Genomic DNA, 19748 nt, shown 5'->3' with positions numbered 1-19748 from the left:
AAATTAATTCCAGATGGATTATAGATTTAAATATAAGATTTCAGACTTTTATTCTAGAATAAAAGCTAGGAAACACCATCCTGGACTTCTGCCTTGAGAAAGAATTTACGACTAAGTTCTCAAAAGCAGATGCAACTAAAACCAAAATTGGTAAGAGGGAACTAATTAAAGAGTTTCTGTACAGCCATACAAACTATCAGTAGAGTAAACAGATAACCTACAGAATGGGAGAAAATATTTGCAAACTATGCATATGACAAAGGTCTAATACCCAGAATCTAAAAGGAATTTAAACAACTGAACAAGCCAGAAAATAATAATAATAACCCCATTAAAAATGTTCATGTCAAAAGACATGAACAGACACTTCTCAAAAGAAGATTCACAAACGGTCAACAAACTTTCGAAAAAAGTTCAACATCACTAATCATCAGGGAATGAAAATCAAAACCACAATGAGATACCATCTCACACCATTCAGAATGATTATTACTAAAAAGTCCAAAAACAGCAGATGCTGGTGAGACTGAAAAGAAAAGAGAATGCTTAGACACTGTTGGTGGAAATGTAAATTATTTCAGTCACTGTGGAAAGCAGTTTGGAGATTTCTCAAATAATTTAAAACGGAACTACCATTCAACCCAGCAATCCCGTAACTGAATATATATCCAGTGGAAAATAAATTGTTCTACTAAAAAGACACGTGTTCATATGTTCATCACAACACTATTTACAATAGCGAAGACATGGACTCAACCTAGTTGCCCATCAGCAATGGATTGGATAAAGGAAATGTGGTACATACATACCACAGAATACTACATAGCTATAAAAAAAAGAATAAAATCATGTCCTTTGCAGCAACATGGATTCAGCTAAAGGCCAATACCCTAAGCAAATTAACACGGGAACAGAAAATGAAATACTACATGTTCTCAATTTTAACTGGGAGCTAAATATTGGATACACATGGATATAAAGATAGCAAAAATGGACACTGGTGACTACTGGAGAGGGGAGAGAGGTGAGGGGCAAGAGCTGAAAAAGTAACTATTGGGTACCATGCTTAGTGATGGGATAAATTGTACCCCAAACCTCAGCATCACACAATATTCCCAGGTAACAAACCTGCACATGTATACCCTAAATCTAAGATAAAAGTTGAAAATATATGCTATACTGCACCTAACAATGCAACCCCAAAATACAACAACAGCAATTGACAGAACTGAAGGGAGAAATGGATAATTCAACAATAATAAATGTTTCAGCACCCTACTTTCCATAATGAATAGAATTACTAGACAGTAGATAAACAAGGAAATCAAAAACTCGAACAGTATAAACTAACAAGATCTAACAGACATCTATAGAATCCTCCACCCAACAGCAACAGAATATTCTTCTGAAGTACACATGAAACATTTTCCAAGGTAGACCATATAGGAGTCCATAGACAAGCCTCAATAAATTCAAAGAAATTAAAATAATAAAAAATTATTTTTTCTTACCACAACAGAATTAAATTAGAAATCAACAACAGAAAAAAATGGGGAAATTCTCAAGTATGTGGAAATTACCCAACGCATCCTAAATAACTAATGAGTCAAAGACAGAAGTCACAAGGGAAATTAGAAAGAAATGAAAATTAAAGTACAACGTACCAAAATGTATGGATTGTAGCTAAAGCAGTGATCACAGGGAAGTTTGTAGCTGTAAGTGCCTACATTAAAAAAGAAGAAAGATCTCAAATAAATAACCATCTTCCATCTTAAGATGCTAGGAAAAAAACTAAAGTTAAAGCAAATATAAATAATAATTATTATTATTATGTTATTTTATTACAGAATAAATAAAAAACAAAAACAAAAGAGAAAAATCAATAAAACAAAAAATTTATTATTTGAAAACATCAACAAAGCTGGCATCCCTTTAGTTAGACTGACCGAAAGAAGAAAGATGAGATTCACATTACCAAAATCAGGAATGAAAAAGTGAACAGCACTACCCATCTTACAAAAATAAAAAGGATTATAAAGAAACATTATATAATAATGTGTGCCCACAAATTAGATAACTTAGATGAAATGGACAAATTCCTAGAAAAACACGAATTATCAGACAAAGAGAAAATCTAAATCGACCTATAAGAGACTGAATCACTAATTTAAAAACTGCAACTTAAAAAATTGAATTAGTAATTTTTACATTTTCCATAAAGAAAATCCATAGTTCAGATGACTTCACTGATAAGTTATTCCAGAAATTTTATTATGAAGAATGAATACCAATCCTTTGTAAAGTCTTCTTAATAATAGGAGAGGAGAGAAAACACTTCCTAACTTATTCTATGATGCCAGCGTTTTGCTAATATCAAAACCAGGCAAAGACATCTCAAGGAAAAAAACAACAAAACTCTGCAGACTAATATCCCTTATGAATATAGACATGAAAATCTTCAACAAAACACTAGCAAACTGAATCAAGCAACATAGAAAAAGGATTATTCACCTTGACCTAATGGGATTTATTTCAGAAATGTGAGGTTGGTTCAGCATTCAAAACTCAAATAATGTAATACATCATATCAATACAACAGAAAAAAACTCAGAAGATCATCTTAATAGACACAGAAAAAGTATATGACGAAATTCTACAGCCCTTCACGATAAAAACCGACAAACTGGGAATGGAAGGCAGCTTCCTCCACTTGATACAGAGCACCTAGAAAAAAACCACGGCTAATATCATAACCTTTAGATGAGATCAGCTTCATGAAATGAAGAGAGCTTCATTTGCATTTGGGAGGAAAAAGGATTTGTAAGTCGATAGGACTTTTGGAAGAAGAGCCCGCCTGGGACAGGGAGCATGGTGCTGTTGGCCAGTGAGGCAAGATGGGCAGTCAGAAAATCCCAGGAATCTCAGGGGACTTTCTGAGCAATAGTAGAGGAATAAAAGTAAATTAACAAAATGTGCAAAGAGTGAAAAATATAAAAAGCAAACTATTTCCAAATATTCTCCCAGATAGCCCTACTCAATAAAAAATAAGGAGTAAAATTTTCTTTTGTTCCCAGAATCCTGATCTCTTTTACTATTACTACTATAATTCATTTTCATTATGGGCTGATCAAACCCACAGGGAACCCAGAAACCTAACCAGCATTTTCCCCAAAATATAGTATCTCTAGGACTAGGCTCTAAACAATTGACTGAAAAGTAAACTATGGGGACCTGATATATTCATAACTTGGAAACTGCCTGTGCACAGTATTTTTTATGGATGATTTGTTTTCCTAATTATGATTTGTTAAGCTTAATTCTATAGTCAGTTACCATTCCATGAGTACACACTGGGGGGATTAATGGCTTAAGAGTAATCCATATTACCAAGGATATAGACAGTCACGCACCACATAATGATGCTCAGTCAACAATGGTATACATATAGGATAGTGGTCCCATAAGACTATAACAATGTATTTTACTGTACTTTTTCTTTGTTTCAATATGTTTAAATAACACAAATACTTACCATTGTTACATTTGCCTACAGCATCTAGTACAGTCACATGCTGCACAGCTTTGCAGCCTGGGAGCAATATGCTATACCGTATAGTCTAGGTGTTTAGTAGGCTAGGTCATCCAGGTCTGTGTAAATAAATTCTGTAATATTCACACAATGACAGATTTGGATAGCAACACATTTCTCAGAAGGTATCCCCATCGTTAAGCAATGCATGACTGTGTATCTGTGTATCCTTTTTTTTTGGAGACGAGAGAAATCTTCTACACATGTGAAACATATATGTATGTATACACACAATATAGATAATATGAATATATATATTTCACATTTCAAGACTTGAGTCCTGTCCCCACAAAAAACAAATAAACAAACAAACAAAAAAACACCTAGAAAAGGAAAATCGAACCCAAATCTTGCTTCTTAGGAGAAATTAAGCAAGAAAGACGTAAAGAAGAATGATTTAAAATAAAAAAAAATATGGGGGAAATAGTTTGAGTTAGGATTAATGGTGATTACATTCATTAAAGTTAGATCTGGACAAGTTTTGAACTTGGTATAGGCTGGAGTCCTAGAGATTCTAGGAGTGAATGAGGAAGGAGAGGACCTGGTTCAGGAGCAGGGGCTCAGGAAAGCCCCCACTGGTGTATATTTGGTGATTGTTTCATCAAGTTGGAAAGAACCTTCCTTCCAGCATCAAGAGCTGAAAAAAAATACAGGTCTCCAAGTAGTGAAGCAGGAGCTCCAAAGCCAATGGACACTTTAGCCTTCTCTGAACACTACAGTAACCATGGAATGTTTTAATTCCAGTCACCCTGTGAAGTGCAGAATTCTAAGAGTGGCCTAATGCCCCACGCTGATGTACAATTCCCTCCTTTTGAGTGTGGGTGGAACCTCTGAAGATGAGGAGATATCACTCCCTTAATTATGTTATGTTAAATGGCAAAAAGTTGATTATTTTAGTGGGCCTAATATAATTACATGAGCCTTTTAAAAGCTGGCATAGGTGTGCTTTGGCAAAATGATCTGATCATCAAGTGATATAGCTTAGTTAGTCCACACACAACCACTTCCCCAAAGGACACCCCGAGTGCCAGTTGCGGATGGCACCAGATATCAGTTACAAGCTGGACCTGGAATTAGCACATCCTTCCCACAATATAATCATTTCCAGGTCATGAGCCACACTTCTCAAATAGGAGCTCACTGTTTAATGAAGTAACTCACTCCCATTTAGACAGCTCCAAACATTACGGAGTTCTTTCGTGTCTCCTTAGAACTTATACCTGTTGTACTATTTGTAAAACAAATACAATTTTATACTGTAAGAGCTGTGTCAAAGAAGTTCATTCTTTCATGTGACAGCCCTTCCATTATTTGGAGGTAGAAATAGGTTTCTCCTAAGTGTGCCTGAGCCCTTTCTCCTTCTACTGGAAATATTCCAGGCTACACTGTTGTTTAAAGCTAACACCAAACCCCAGATGTGTCTGACCTGTACCAAGTAGAAGATACTTCCTTCCTCACTGTTAGCACCTTTATTAAATGCTGCCTAAAGTTGCTTTAAAATATTTAGCTGTTATATCACATGATGAAATCATTTTCATATAACAGGAAGTCATTTCCAATCTTGTTTTGCATATATACAAATAATTTATTAGCTAATGCTAATAAATAAAATTTTCAAATAGGACAAATACAAGATGTTACTGGTTTTTTTTTTATTGTGTAATACAGGGTATGGGAGAAATGATAATACCTTTTCCTCATCCAATTACAGGTTCATGGCTGAGACCCCTATAACAAAAGAGAGATGAACAAGAGCAAAACATACAGACTTATTTAATATAAATTTTACCTGACGTAGGAGCCTTCAGAAAGGAGACCCAAAGCCCCAGGAAAAACTGTATTTGTATTGACAGTCACACAGTAGTGTGATTGGAGGACCAATGGGTGTGATCTAATGGTGATAAGCTGGGGGAACTGAACAAGGCCTGTCTGTTTGGATTCTTCATGTCCTCTCTGTGTGACATTCCTTTCTTCAGGGTATGAGGGTTATTATGGGAGGAGAGAGGTAGATGGTCAGAGAGTGGTCTTCCTGTGTTTTATGACCTACTTCAGGGAAGAAGGTATGAAGGGAATTCTAGCTTCTATGGCCCACTTCAGGGGAGTCAGGGGACAGAAGAATGTCAGTTTCTATGATCTGCTTCAGGAGAGAGGGAATAGGAGAAAGTCAGAGATGTCCCTGCTTCCACTGTTTTCTCAAGTTACTCAGTATGCCTAGGGGCTATATTTTGAGGTAGCATTTTCTGCACCCCATCTATAGATTTTTCAATTCTTAGAGTAAATAAACAAAAACCAAGATTTTTCTTCGGACCTGAAACACTAAAAGAAAAATCTAGAAAGAAAATCAGACACACAAACACCAAATGGAAGAATAAAAAACTTAAAAGGAAATAGAATCTGGCAATCAAATAATGTTGCTTTGACTCTCATTTTAGCTAAAAAGCAAGCGAGTTTCAATATTACTATTCATTACATTACATTCATTTCTATCGTAGAGAGATAAATCAATTTATTTTTAACAGCTTTGTTAAGAAATAATTTACACATCACTCAGTTCACCAATTTAAAATGTGTAGTTCAACGGTTTTTGGTATATTTATTAGCAGTGCTACGCAACCATCACTACAGCCTAAATATTAAAACCTTTCAATTTCATCCCCCCAGAAAGAAACCCTGAAATCCCTTTTTTCATAATGGTGAGGCAGAAGGCATTGTAATCCATTCTGGGTCATGGGGAACAAGTACATTGGGAAGCAGGATAGGGAAAGGGGAGCCAGACGTAGCTAGAGGAGGGTCGGTATTCTTCATCGATCGCACGGGCTTCCTGTGCTTCTACTAAAAGACAGCTTCCAGACGGCTTTCCCTAGTAAATTTCGCCGGTGGAAAATTCACTGTGTGATTCCATTTAAGCCTCATGGGAGTGTCAGGCCTTATAGAAAGGCTGAATTGTGAATCACATTCCACTACAGCTTTCTCCCTTTCCTTTCAAAAGGAGTTCAGGCTGAAGTAGAATCTAAGCACCATGTGTGTTTTGCTTCAGCAAAGAGGCAATTGTAATCCAGCGGCGCTGTGTTTTAGCTAGGCAGTTTTAAAACAAATACTTGCATTGGGTTGCTTTTATTAAGCCGCGTGGCTTTCTTTCTCTTTCAGAGACCAAAGTGTTAAAGTAAATCTAGTGCATTTTATTTTAAACGATCAGAATGTGACGAGAACGTTCATTGGCATGAAACAACTATAACAAAATCCACAAATCTTTTCCTTTCTGAGAATTATACACTCCGGATTGATCTAAGAATTGACTGAAATTGGCACACTGGACAGCTCTGTATTCGGGTCTCTCCTGCCTCATCCCTGCCACAGTTTGGGTGAATCTGGATGTCTTGACACTGGACACATCAAATACTAAAGTGGATATATTATTCTGATATTAAAAGCTTTGGTGAAAGTCCTCCTTCAAAAATGCTATTCTTCTACGTACAACTTTTCTGAAGAAACAAAGGAAAACACAGCTTCTGGTTTGTGTTTTGGTCTGAGAAGACAGGCAGCGCCTTGCTTTGTGAAGTTCTGTTCCTCTGTTCTGCCCTCTGCCGGCTGAAGGAAGTACTACTGGCACTTCGTGAGTTGCATTTATGCATTTATTTTAGCAAACCTGGGCACATTTTCTGACCTGCACAGTTAAAACAGCTAAACGCAATGCAGTGGTCAAACTTAAAATTACCAAAGGCAAATACAATTTCTTCTACCCACTCCTCGCCCTAGCCTCGTCCTACACCCACGGAATGTGGAAAGGTGATGCATGCAGGGCTGGGGGCATGACAGCTGATTGTGCAGCCTGCCTTTCTGCCAATGAAATACTAGCGTAATGATTGGAAAAGGGGTGAATTTCCAAGGGCAGAAGTTTCCCTTGGAGGTCTCAGGACTAGAACCCGGGCTTCTGTGTGAGCTACAGCCACATCGTAGGTTTCTTGGCACTGAACGTGCTGTTTTGTGGCCCTTATCCTCTGAGTTGAGATGAGCAATCTTTTCCTGGCCATGTATTGTCTCTGAGCTAGAGACAGTTACCAACTGCTACTTCTTAAAACAAAACAAAACAAAAACCTTTTTTAAAAATTAAGCAGTTTTTAGTTTAATTGCAACTTTTTTTTTTTTTTTTTTTTTTTTTTTTGAGACGGACCCTCGCTCTGTCGCCCAGGCTGGAGTGCAGTGGCGCGATCTCGGTTCACTGCAAGCTCCGCCTCCCGGGTTCACGCCATTCTCCTGCCTCGGCCTCCCGAGTAGCTGGGACTACAGGTGCCCGCCACCACGCCCGGCTAATTTTTTTTGTATTTTTAGTAGAGACGGGGTTTCACCGTGTTAGCCAGGATGGTCTCGATCTCCTGACCTCATGATCCGCCCACCTCGGCCTCCCAAAGTGCTGGGATTACAGGCGTGAGCCACCGCGCCCGGCCTAATTACAACTTTTAAGGCCTCCTTTTCTCCTGATTTTTGGATATCAGAGATAAAAAAGCAACAAACATTTGTAGAAATAGATCGCATTTAAATTACTTTAAATAGCAATACATTTCTGCCATTTACATGTTTCTTTGGGTTAACCCAAAAGTTCAAAGGTTATATCAAAATTTATAAGTTGAAGTAAATACATGTTATTCACAAACTCAACGATAAGTGAGTATAATATGAATTTAAGTAGTGTTGCTAAAAATATCAGAAGTAATGTGAAGTGAGATTTAGACTAAATTTACAGTTTAATTTACAATGGTCTTTCCACCTCTGAAATAAAAGACTTTTATTTCACTTTGATATTATTAAGTTACATTGGTTTTCCTTTCCCCAAAGAAATGGCATTTAAAATTCCTGGGCATGTGTGCACGGAGGACTTTGCTGCTAACTTGCATAGAGGAAAGCACACTAAGCGTGGCCTTGAACACAGGCTGGCATACTTCAGTGCCCCGTGGACTCAATTCATGCCACTTCCTGAGCATCCATCCCTGACTGCTCGTCTTGCTTTGAGAACACTCGGTACACATCTCACTAAAGCCTGGTCTCAGTGGATTATGCACCGTGTGAGTGCTTCTCTCCACTCCTCTCAGGGCTTCTTTTATGCAGTGGACCTTGTTTGACTCATCTCTGTGTCCTGGCAGCCAGCACAGTGCCTAGCCCCAGCATGTGTGCATGTGTGTGTGTGTGCGTGTTTCAATCCTTGTACACTGAATGAGTAAATGTGGTTCAGGCACTAGGCATTTCCATTGTCTGTTTGATGGTTGCATTTGCTCAAAGTTAACATGAAGGAATACAGGAAGATCAGACAAACTTAATAGAATTTTGACTTTTAAATAATTGACAGAACTATAAAGACTTGTGCCTTATGCTGTACTATTTGAACTCGAGAAGAGAAGAACATTGGTTGAGTCACCAGGACCAACCCCTTCTTATTATATTCTTATTTTCTAGTATGTATTCTGGAATGAGAAAGAGAGAGACAGAGACAGAGAAGAGATGTATACTATACGTAATCTGCATTCAAAAAACAGAACGTGTCTCAAGAAGAACGTGATCAGAAAAGCATTATATTTGAAGACTTTCAAAGATAGAAAAGCATAAGCCAGAAACGATCAAAATGAAAAAATAAACAATACTAGAGTTGGAGCAATAAATCAAAACCTGATTTCTTAAACTAACCAGGAAAATTGACAAATCCTTGGCAAGGTTGATCAAAGGGGAAAAAAGAAATGCTACAAATAAGTGATGTTAGCAGTGAGAAAAGGGACATAATTACAGATAAATGTATGGGATATAGCTACAGTTATATAATCCCTGATATACTCAGGGATTCAAGAAAGCATGAGAATATTTTGTACACATCTGAAAATTGTAGACACAACTATTAGCTTTCAAAAATATATACATTACCAAAATTCGCTAAAATAATAGAATATTTCAAGACAATAATAATCACAGAAGAAGATAAGGTGGTCAAAAATCTATCTCTAAAATAAGCATGAAATTCAGAAAATGTTAGGTGATTTCTACTGAATCTTTAAGAAACAAATAATTTTTATATTCTGAAACTACATCCAGGTAGTAGAAAAAGACTGCAATTATCTTAACTAGAAATAGAAATTAGACTGGAATTAGAAAAGGCTAACAAAACTCTGATACCAAATTAGATTAAAGAATACACACAGACAAGGAAAACTGGAAGTCAGTCTCACTTGTAAATGTGGATGTAAAACTCCTAAATAAACTATTAGGAATTAAAATTATAAGAATGACTCTAAAGCATTAAAAATGTGGACAAAGTGCCATTTATATGAACTATGTGTAGCTAGTTCAATTTAGCATATCAATTTTTTTATCTATGTTAACAAATGAAAGAAAAAATGTATTATTTGATTCTGAAAAAATATTTAATACAAAACCTACTTGATTTTCAAAGAAATAGCAAACAATAGACAAAACTTCTATCTTGCTGTGAATAGCAAGCATCATAATCAATGGTAAGACATTAAGTGCTTATCAATAAAAGTTAGGAACAAGATATGTTTACCTGTTATCTCAGGTATTATTCAATACTATAATTCCTAGTCACTACAGTTAATTCAAAACGTGTAGTGGGGTGACAGGAGAAAACTTCTATTATTTAAGATATTATTATCTATGTAGGACTAATAAAAGATTTAATCAAGTTGGCCAGAATAAAAATTAATAAGCAAACACAAATGGTTTTTCTTGTACACTACCCTACCAATTAGATTTTTTTAGTGCTCTTTACCATAGTAACCAATATCATCAAACAGCTGGAAATAAATATACAAAGAAAAATATAAAACCTATTGAAGACAACTATTAAACTTTTGTGATATATTATACATAGAAGCCCTGAGTACACAGAAAAATACACCAAGCTCCTGAACAAGATACCAGTTCCTCTACAGTTATGATATGAAATTAATACAGTTCTGATCAAAGGGCCAGAAAGTGTTTCCATCAGTTCTAAAATGCTGACCTAAAAATGTATCTAAAAGAGGAAACATGAAAGAAGAGCCAAGAAATCTGAGGAAGAAGAAAGGGAAAAAAACTACAGAATATGGAAACACTTTCTCCGCCAAGTATCAAAACATACTGTTAGCCCCAGAAGAAGCAGAAAAGGAGTACACACTTGCAGGCCCTGCAGGTCCCAGAGAGACAGGGCAAGAACTCCATGTTCTCAATCACATAAATCACTTTTCTTCCCAAGGGAAGGAGAGAGTTAGTATGGGAGAGAGAAGTGGGAATTCCCCACTAGGAAACATGGGACTGAGTAATAAAGTTTCTCTAACACAAAGAATAAAGTTAAAGAAATTAAAACACTAATGTTGGCACAGGAATAAACATACTGCTTATGAGAATAGAAATAAATACCAAAATACATTCAAGTATGTGTAGATATTTATACATAATAAAAAAACTATGTCAGTGTGATCATTTCAGCTATAAGTAACAGAAAACCTAATTCATATTAGCTCCAAAATTAAAGAGAACTTGTTAACTCAGATTATGAAAAATCTGAAGGGAGATGAAGGAAGCGACTTCATTTTCATGGAGTAAGTAGGGCTTACTCCAGGGGCCTTGAAACATCACCAGTGATCCTGTGTCTGCCTTTTGTCTGCTCCATTTTGTAGGATGTTGCTTTTATTCTATAGCTGAGTCTTCTCATAGGTGCTCAAGGGCTTTTTCCTTTACATCCAGCACAAAAGAGATCATTTCTGTCTCAGCATTTCAAACAATTTCCCAGAGTTCAGTCTAGTTGGCTTAAAGCATATGCCTAAACCCAATATGGCTCTTGTAATAAAATGACTAAAGTTTATAAACCCACCTCGAATCCTGAGTATGAATTCCATTTACACAAACCATAAGGCCAATGCCAAGACAAAAATCGTTTCTCAAAAGAAAATGCGTAGTACTGTTTCCAGAAAGTGACACAATAGATACTTAATCACCAGAATGACAGAGGTCCCCTACTGGAGTCCTTTAGAACAGTTGGGGAAAGAAAGAAAAGTTGAACATCTATTTTGGGTAAAAAGTTTACTCCTTCATCAGATTATTTTCAAAATTTCTTATACATTGGTATATGTTAAAGCAGTCCTTTTAAAGCATATATATATGGCTCCCTTTAATACACAGAAGACTGCTTTAATGCTTTAATATATACCAATGCACCTGAAATTTTAATACACAAAAGACTGCTTTAATGTTTTATATATCTATAACTGCTTGTATATGTATAAATGCATACATATATGCATTATACACACATATGTAATATATATGAATATAGATCTGTAACTGCTTATATATGTACAAATGCATATGGATTTATACATATATAGGCAGTTACAGATCTATATTCATGTATATTATATATGTGTGTATAATTATTAAATATATACATATATTGGCATTAGGAAACACTGGAAGGTTAAAAAATAAATTAATTTCAATGGTTACATATAGTGGCAAGGGAGAAATAGAATAAAGTCAGAGTTGGCAGCAAGACTGCAGTACACAGGTATACCTCATTTTATTGCACGTCACTTTTTTATGCTTGGCAGAAATTGTGTTTTGTTGCAAATTGAAGGTTTGTGGCAACCCTGCGTTATGCGAGTCTATCAGTGCTATTTTTCTAATAGCATGTGCCTACTTTGTGTCTCTGTATCACATTTTGCTAATTCTCACAATTATATTTTCAACTTTTTCATGAGTATGTTATCTATTGTAGTGATCTTTGATCAGTGATCTTTGATGCTACTATTATAATTGTTTTGAGATGTCATGAACTGCACCCATATAAGGCAGCAAACTTAATCAATAAGTGTGTGTGTTCGGACTCCTCCATTCACCAGCTATTCTCATGCCTCTTCTCATGCCTTCATATTTCCGGAGACACAGCAATACTGAAATTAAACCAATTAGTAATCCCACAGTGGCCTCTAAGCGTGCAAGTGAAAGGAAGAGTTGCACGTCTCTCACTTTAAACCAAAAGCTAGAAATGATTAAGCTTAGTGAGGAAGCCACGTAAAAAGCTGAGGTAGGCCAAAAGCTAGGCCTCTTGCACCAAAAAGTTAGCCAAGTTGTGAATGCAAAGGAAGAATTCTTGAAGGAAATTAAAAGTGCTGCCCCAGTAAATGCACAAGCATTAAGAAAGTGCAATGGCGTTACTGATAATATAGAAAAAGTTCGAGTGGTCTGGGTAGAAGATCAAACCAGCCACAACATTCCCTTAAGCCAAAGCCTAAACCAAAGCAAGGCCCTGACTCTCTTCAATTCTATAAAGGCTGAAAGAGATGAGAAAGATGCAGAAGAAAAGTTTGAAGCTAGCAGAGGCTGGTTCATCAGGTTTAAGGAAAGAAGCTGTCTTTCTAACATAAAAGTGAAAGTGAAGCAGCAAGTGGTGATGGAGAAGCTGCAACAAGTTATCCAGAAGATTTAGCTAAAGTCACTAGTGAAGGTGGCTACAGTAAACCACAGATTTGAAATGTAGGTGAAACAGCATTGTATAGGAAGAAAATGCCATCTAGGCCTTTCAGAGCTAAAGGGGAGAAGTCAATGCCTGGTTTCAAAGCTTCAAAGGACAGGCTGACTCTCTTGTTAGGGGCTAATGCAGCTGGTGACTTTAAGTTGAAGCCAATGCGCATTTACTATTCTGAATATCTTAAGGCCTTTAAGAGGTAGGCTAAATCTGCTTTTCCTGTGCTCAATAAATGGAACAACAAGCTTGGATGGAAGCATATCTGATTACAACATGGCTTACTGAATATTTCAAGCCCACTGTTGAGACCTACTGCTCAGAAGAAAAAAGATGTTTTTTCAAATATTACTGTTCATTGACAATGTCCCTGTTCACCCAAGAGCTCTGATGGAGCTATACAGGGAGATCAATATTGTTTTCATGCCTGTTAACACAATATCCATGCTGTAGCCCAATAGATCAAGGACTAATTTTGACTTCCAAGTCTTATTATTTAAGAAATACATTTTGTAAGGCTATAGCTGCCATAGATAGTGATTCCTCTGATGGATTTTGTCAAGGTCCATTAAGAAACCTTCTGGAAATAATTAATTATTCTAGATGCTATTAAGAATATTCACCAGCCTGGGCAGCATGGCAAGACTCCATCTTTACAAAAAGTGAAATAAATTAGCCAGGCATGGTGGCATACACCTGTAGTCCCAGCACTTTGGGAGGCCAAGGTGGGAGGATCACTTGAGGCCAGGAGTTTAAGACCAGCATAGACAACATACCCAGACCCAAGATTTCATCTCTAAACACAAAAAAGAGAAAGAAATTTACTTGCATGTGGCAGCACACACCTGTAGTCCCAGCTACTAGGGAGGCTGAGGCAGAAGGATAGCTTCAGCCCAGGAATTCAAGGCTGCAGTGAGCCATGATTGCACCACTGCACTCCAGGCTGAGTGACAGTGCAAGACCTCAACTCTAAAAAAAAAAAAAAAAAAGTAAAAAAAGAAAAGAAATTGCCACAACCACACCAACCTTCAGCAACCACCACCCTGATCATCAGCAGCCACCAACATTGAGGTAAAACCCTTCACCGCAAAAAGATTACAACTCCCTGAAGGCTCAGATGATCATTAGCATTTTTAGCAATAAAGTATTTTTAATTAAGGTTCACATATTATTTTTAAGACAATATGCTGTTTCACATTCAATAAACTACAGTGCAGTGTACACATAACTCTTACACGCATTGGGAAACTGAAAAAAATCATGTGACTTTCTTTATTGCTGTGGTCCAGAACCAAACCCGCACTATCTCCAAGGTATGCCTGTAAAAAGATAGACAGACAGACAGATAGATAGATAGATAGATAGATAGATAGATAGATAGATAGATAGATAGATGATAGACAGATAGATAGATAGATAGACAGACAGACAGACAGACAGACAGACAGACAGATCTATTTTCAAGTTCCAGGCTCTCTGGGAAGCAGCTGAGGTGTAGAAATAATATAATGGGTAAAATTTGTTAAGACTTTAGAATATGCCAATTACTTAAGTGCTTTATGTCATCTAATTCTTACAACAAAACTAGAAGATAGTTTTGAGGTGGAAGAATCAGTTGAGCCTGGGAGGTCAAGGTATGGATGGGAAATGCAGCTTAGAGGAATTGAAGTAACTTATGTAAAGTTACAGAGCTAACAACTTAAGCAAGTAAATCCAAAGCTGGTCTGATAACAAACCCAGTGCTTGTAAGGGTACTAGGAGTCCAAACCTTAGGTTCATGTTCAGACTTCTGGACTTAGGATTTTACACAACTTACTTAAACTATCTGACTTGCCCATATGTCTAAAGATCTCAAACAAAATAATAAATATAAAAGGGCTTTTTAAAGTGTAAAGTACCATGCAAATATCTGCTGCCCTCTGGATATTTATACCTGAACATTTTACCTTTCTACAATCTCAGTGCACTTAAAATTGCATTTTATTTTGTCCTTATTCTTTCTTCCACTGCCATCCCCAATAATTTCCTCCTTTTTTCCATATTTCTATTGGCGGTTTTCTCAATAGCTTAAAATGTTGCAATATCTTAAACTAGTCTTTCTCCGTTGCCCCTATTTAATCTCCATTTCCCATTTGTTCTTTCTTTAAGTCAGCTTTGCTTCTCCTTTCCTTTTACCTAACTCTTCACCACAGCTGTTCTCCAATCCTAATCACTGCAGCCCTGGACTGGTGAAACAGCCTCCTCTCCTATCTTACCCACTGCATTATCTCCTGGGGTATAAAAGCCTTATTTTACTTTTTTTATATCACTCAGTGACTTATAATAAATATTTGTTGATTGATTTATTCTGTGAAGACATTTAACCTTTTCCCCATATTTTGTAACTTAAATACTCATGTTCTCTGTAGATTTTAATAGACAATATCTTCTTGTATTTTTATGTACTTTAATTTGACTGCTGGTATGAAATCTGCAACCAGCTGGGCACGGTAGCTCCTGCCTGTAATCCCAGCAGTTTGGGAGGCCGAGACAGGAGGATCACTTGAGCCCAAGAGGTGGAGACCAGCCTAGGCAACATGGCAAAATCCCGTCTCTACAAATACAAAAGAGATTAGCCAGGCATAGTGGCGTGGGCCTGTAGCCCCAGCTACTCAGAAGGCTGAGGTGGGAGGATCGATTGAGTCCCAGAGATCAAGGCTGCAGTAGGCCAAGATTGTGCCACTTCACTCCAGCTTGAGTGACAGAGTGAGATCCTGTCTCAAAAAAAGAAAAAGGAAAAGAATCTGCAGCCATCAATTATATGAGAGATTAAAATTATGCTGAATGATTAGTATCAACTTCCTCCTTCGTAGAAAAATATCCCACTATATTTGTTGACATTCAATGGTTTCTGACATCCTGTGGGAAAGTATATCTATCTGAATATTTTTGTCGAAACATTTAAAACTTTTGTTTTTAGCAAGTTAAGAAGCTCTGCTGTATGATGCAGCAAAAGTAGAACCAAGAAAATTGTTTTGTGTGCTAGAGTTCTTAACTGGGATTTATCTGTATTGGTTCCGTTCAGAATATAACTATCTGTTGCACTGCCATTGCATGAAAAGCATGTGGCTGGAATTTTAGGGAATACACGGATAAATCAGCCTAAACTCCTACCTGTGAGGTGTCTGGAGGCAGAAGGGAAGGAAAAATGGAGGATGACTACATCCACATTGCAGGAAGCTATAGTTCTCAGTACCACGTGGTGAGCACTTTTGACAAAGTACAGTGGGGCTTGCAAAGACCAAGAGATTACATTTGATGGGGAAATTATGATTGGCATCCTGGAGAAGGTAGAATTTAAATCTGCTGAGACAGATGTAAATGGGGAAGATGGAAAGTGCCAGGGGCAGTAAGGACAGCTCTGAGGCAGAAAAGAACAGAGCAAGTTCAAGGAAACAATCAGATCCCCACCACGGACTGAGCATAATGCAGTAGACTAGTGAGAGGTTGGGACGAAGTCCTGATCCCTGTACCAGAATTATTTGAATCCCAAGGCAAGAAGGTGGTCCTTAATGTGGTAAACAATTGGAGCCTTTGAAAGTGTTTGTTCAATTGAATAATATATGTGGGTCTGTGCTGCAGAAAGATTAATCTGGAAACAAAACAGAAGATAAGCTGGATTTGAAAGAGAGAGGAGACCCCTGTAAGAATAATGATGACAAAAATATACCGACCAACACTTACACAATGTTTACTTTGTGCCAGACACTAATCTAAGTACTTTCATTAACTTAATTCATGTAATCTTTACAACTTTGCCAGGTACCATTGTTAGCTCAGTTTTATAGTTAGGTAAACTGAAATACAGGAGGGTTAAGTAACTTGCTCAGCCTTCACAGCTAGTAAATGGACAAGCCAGGACGTTAACCCAGGCAGCCTATAAAAAAGCTTCTGCTTCAGTCCAGCAGACACAGATTTTAAACATAGCTGTGAGTCACGTCACGAGAAGGTTGTCTGAGGACTCTGAACCTATTCGGCTCCATTCTCCCTTGAGATCTAAGAGGACAAATCTGGCAGCATCCTAAAGAACTGGGAGGGTCCAAAGGAAATATAGGTCAGTTGACTCACTCTTCATTCAGGGATGAGATAAATGAAACCTATGAAAAGATTCCAGGGGAAAAAAAAAAAAGAATGGCAAAAAGTACCTTAAGCAAAGGAAAAAGCATATCTGTGAAAAGGACATATAGCAGATGAGAAATATATACAGGTTTTTCTGATAAAATATGGTGGGTTTACATTTTCACAGGCCATGACAAAGCCTATGTGAGAGAAATAGCTTCTTTACTTTTCTATAACCTGCTTTGATTCTTTTCTAGATTCCACATTCTGGCCAGGCGCAGTGGCTCACGCCTGTAATCCCAGCACTTTGGGAGGCCGAGGTGGGAGGATCACTTGAAGCCAGGAGTTCGAGACCTGCCTGGCCAATATGGTGAAACCCCATATCTTAAAAAATACAAAAAATAGCCAAGCGTAGTGGCACACACCTGCAATCCCAGCTACTTGGGAGGCTGAAGCAGGAGAATCACTTGAACCCAGAAGGCGGAGACTGCAGTGAGCTGAGATCACCACACTGCATTCCAGCCTGGCCGACAAAGCGAGACTTTGTCTCAAAAACAAATCCCCAAAAACATAGATTCCACATTCTGCCTAAAGGTAAAAAATAATCATCATCATCTCAGGCAGTTTCAGGTAAACACAGGCTCTTTAGAATTTGTTTCTGCTGATCGATTCAGGTTTAAATTAAATCACTTCGAAGATTCCGCCTACCCCTCCTTCTTTCTAAGGAGGCACTTATGTTCTCGGGGTGGAGAAATCTGATGTAGCTTCATGGCATTGGAGAGAAGTCAAATCTGAAGTTGTTTCCCTTTCCTTCTTGTCTTTATTCATCAATGTGTATCCCAATTGGCATCTAGTGTGTTATATTATGTCGTTTCCAGTTGAAGGTTGATGTCAAATTCCACAGACACACCCTGTCACCATCATGATGCAGCCCCTCCAGGGCCACCAGCCCTATCTGTCTTTCTGGCCCTGACTTGGGGCACAAGAAATTTCTTATGTTCTCGGGAAGATGTCTTAGGTCTTCTTTACTTGATCATCTCTTACTATCTTGTCTCCTATATTCTTTATATAACCTGTTAGCAAGAAAAGAATTCTCTACAAGGTTAGAAAGCACCCCTGGAAAAGGAAGTACAATTTGTCCTGTTTCCAGATCACTAGAACTCTTTAGGGGTTCTTTTGTTCACCCAGACGTCTCATGGGGATACATCTATGTCTAAAAGCATCCAAGCCTAAGCTTTTCCCCTCTATAAATCTCCCTCTCAGCCAAGTGAAAAAATGTGTACCTGATTGGGGAAGGTGGCCAGTGTCTCTGTTTATTCTCTTTCCAAAACTTTGTTAATGGCACAAATTTATGAAACCGGAAAAAAAATCTCTTTCAAAAGTCCCACTCTTGCCATATCTTGTCTTGGTTTTAAGACTTTTGTCTTTTCTGAGTTTTAGAGCTGGTCCCCTCTTGAGGCAAAAGGAAATTTCAAATGCTCTCAGGAAGATATCTCAGGTCCTCTTTACTTGGTCATCCAAGCAAGATTCTGAATCTTGCTTTTTATATTAGGTTGAAGGTGATACTGCTGACTGAATGAACGGGAAGAAGGGCATGGAGGAGTGCACCCTTGTTTTATTATTTAAAATGTAATCCTACTAAAAAGATAGGAAAGGTAAGTCTAAACAAAATTGCAGATATCAAGAAAAAATAGGCAACCAGGTGCAGTGGCTCATGCCTGTAATCCCAGCACTTTGGGAGGCCAAGGTGGGTGGATCACCTGAGGTCAGGAGTTCAAGACCAGCCTGGCCAACATGATGAAACCGCATCTCTACTAAAAATGCAAAAACTAGCCAGGCATGGTGGCGCATGCCTGTAGTCCCAGCTACTTGGGAGGTTGAGGCAGGAGAATCCCTTGAACCCAGGAGGCAGAGGTTGCAGTGAGCTGAGATCACACCACTGCACTCTAGCCTGGGTGACAAAACAAGACAAAAAAAAAAAAAAAAGAAAGAGAAAGGAAGGAAGGAAGGAAGATAAAATATATAAAAATCAAAATATAAATATAAAAACTGAATTTATTTAAGGCAATAAGAAAAGAATCAATTCTACAGAAAACAATATACATGATATAGGACACAAACAAGAAAAGTTCATTAGAACACAGACTATATAGAGATAACAACTGAAATGCAAGATAAAGATACAGAAAATTAATTTTAAATTAACAATCAATGTTATACATAACCGTGTACCATAAAGGCATTTTCAATAAAATCAGAAATGTGACAAAAATTACCATCTTCACTATTTTTATTGCTTCCAAAAGTTCTGACCATGACAATAAAAGGAAAGAGATAAGATTAATATGTAAACAGCTAAGAGATAAAACTAAGGAACAAAGAAAAATTAAGAAAAATCTCTTTGAATTAATGTCAATTTTAGAAGTCCCACATAATACATATCAGTATTTTTTTTAATTCCAGTCATTACAGTAGATGACATAATTGGAGGCTGGGTTGATTCATAAAGGATGTAAAAATCATAAAATACTAAGGAAGAATCCTAACAACAATGATGTC

General features: G+C 37.3%; 1 protein-coding gene across 11 annotated transcripts in view; it reads left to right on the top strand.

Annotated features, from left to right (window-relative positions):
• Positions 1–19748, top strand: part of DLGAP1 (DLG associated protein 1) — a 959276-nt gene that overhangs the window by 341525 nt on the left and 598003 nt on the right. For 2 of the 11 annotated variants that reach the window (XM_047437933.1, XM_024451288.2), the window contains exon 3: positions 6737–7202. The exons of the other annotated variants lie outside the window; for them this stretch is intronic. The gene's annotated coding sequence lies outside the window, so the exon portion shown is untranslated. The remainder of the gene's footprint in view (positions 1–6736; positions 7203–19748) is intronic. 11 annotated transcript variants of the gene reach the window in all.

This window comes from Homo sapiens, chromosome 18, assembly GCF_000001405.40.
Source record: "Homo sapiens chromosome 18, GRCh38.p14 Primary Assembly".
NCBI classification, from domain to species: domain Eukaryota; kingdom Metazoa; phylum Chordata; class Mammalia; order Primates; family Hominidae; genus Homo; species Homo sapiens.
Note: the sequence above shows the minus strand (reverse complement) of the source record. Positions and strands in the feature narration are given on the sequence as shown.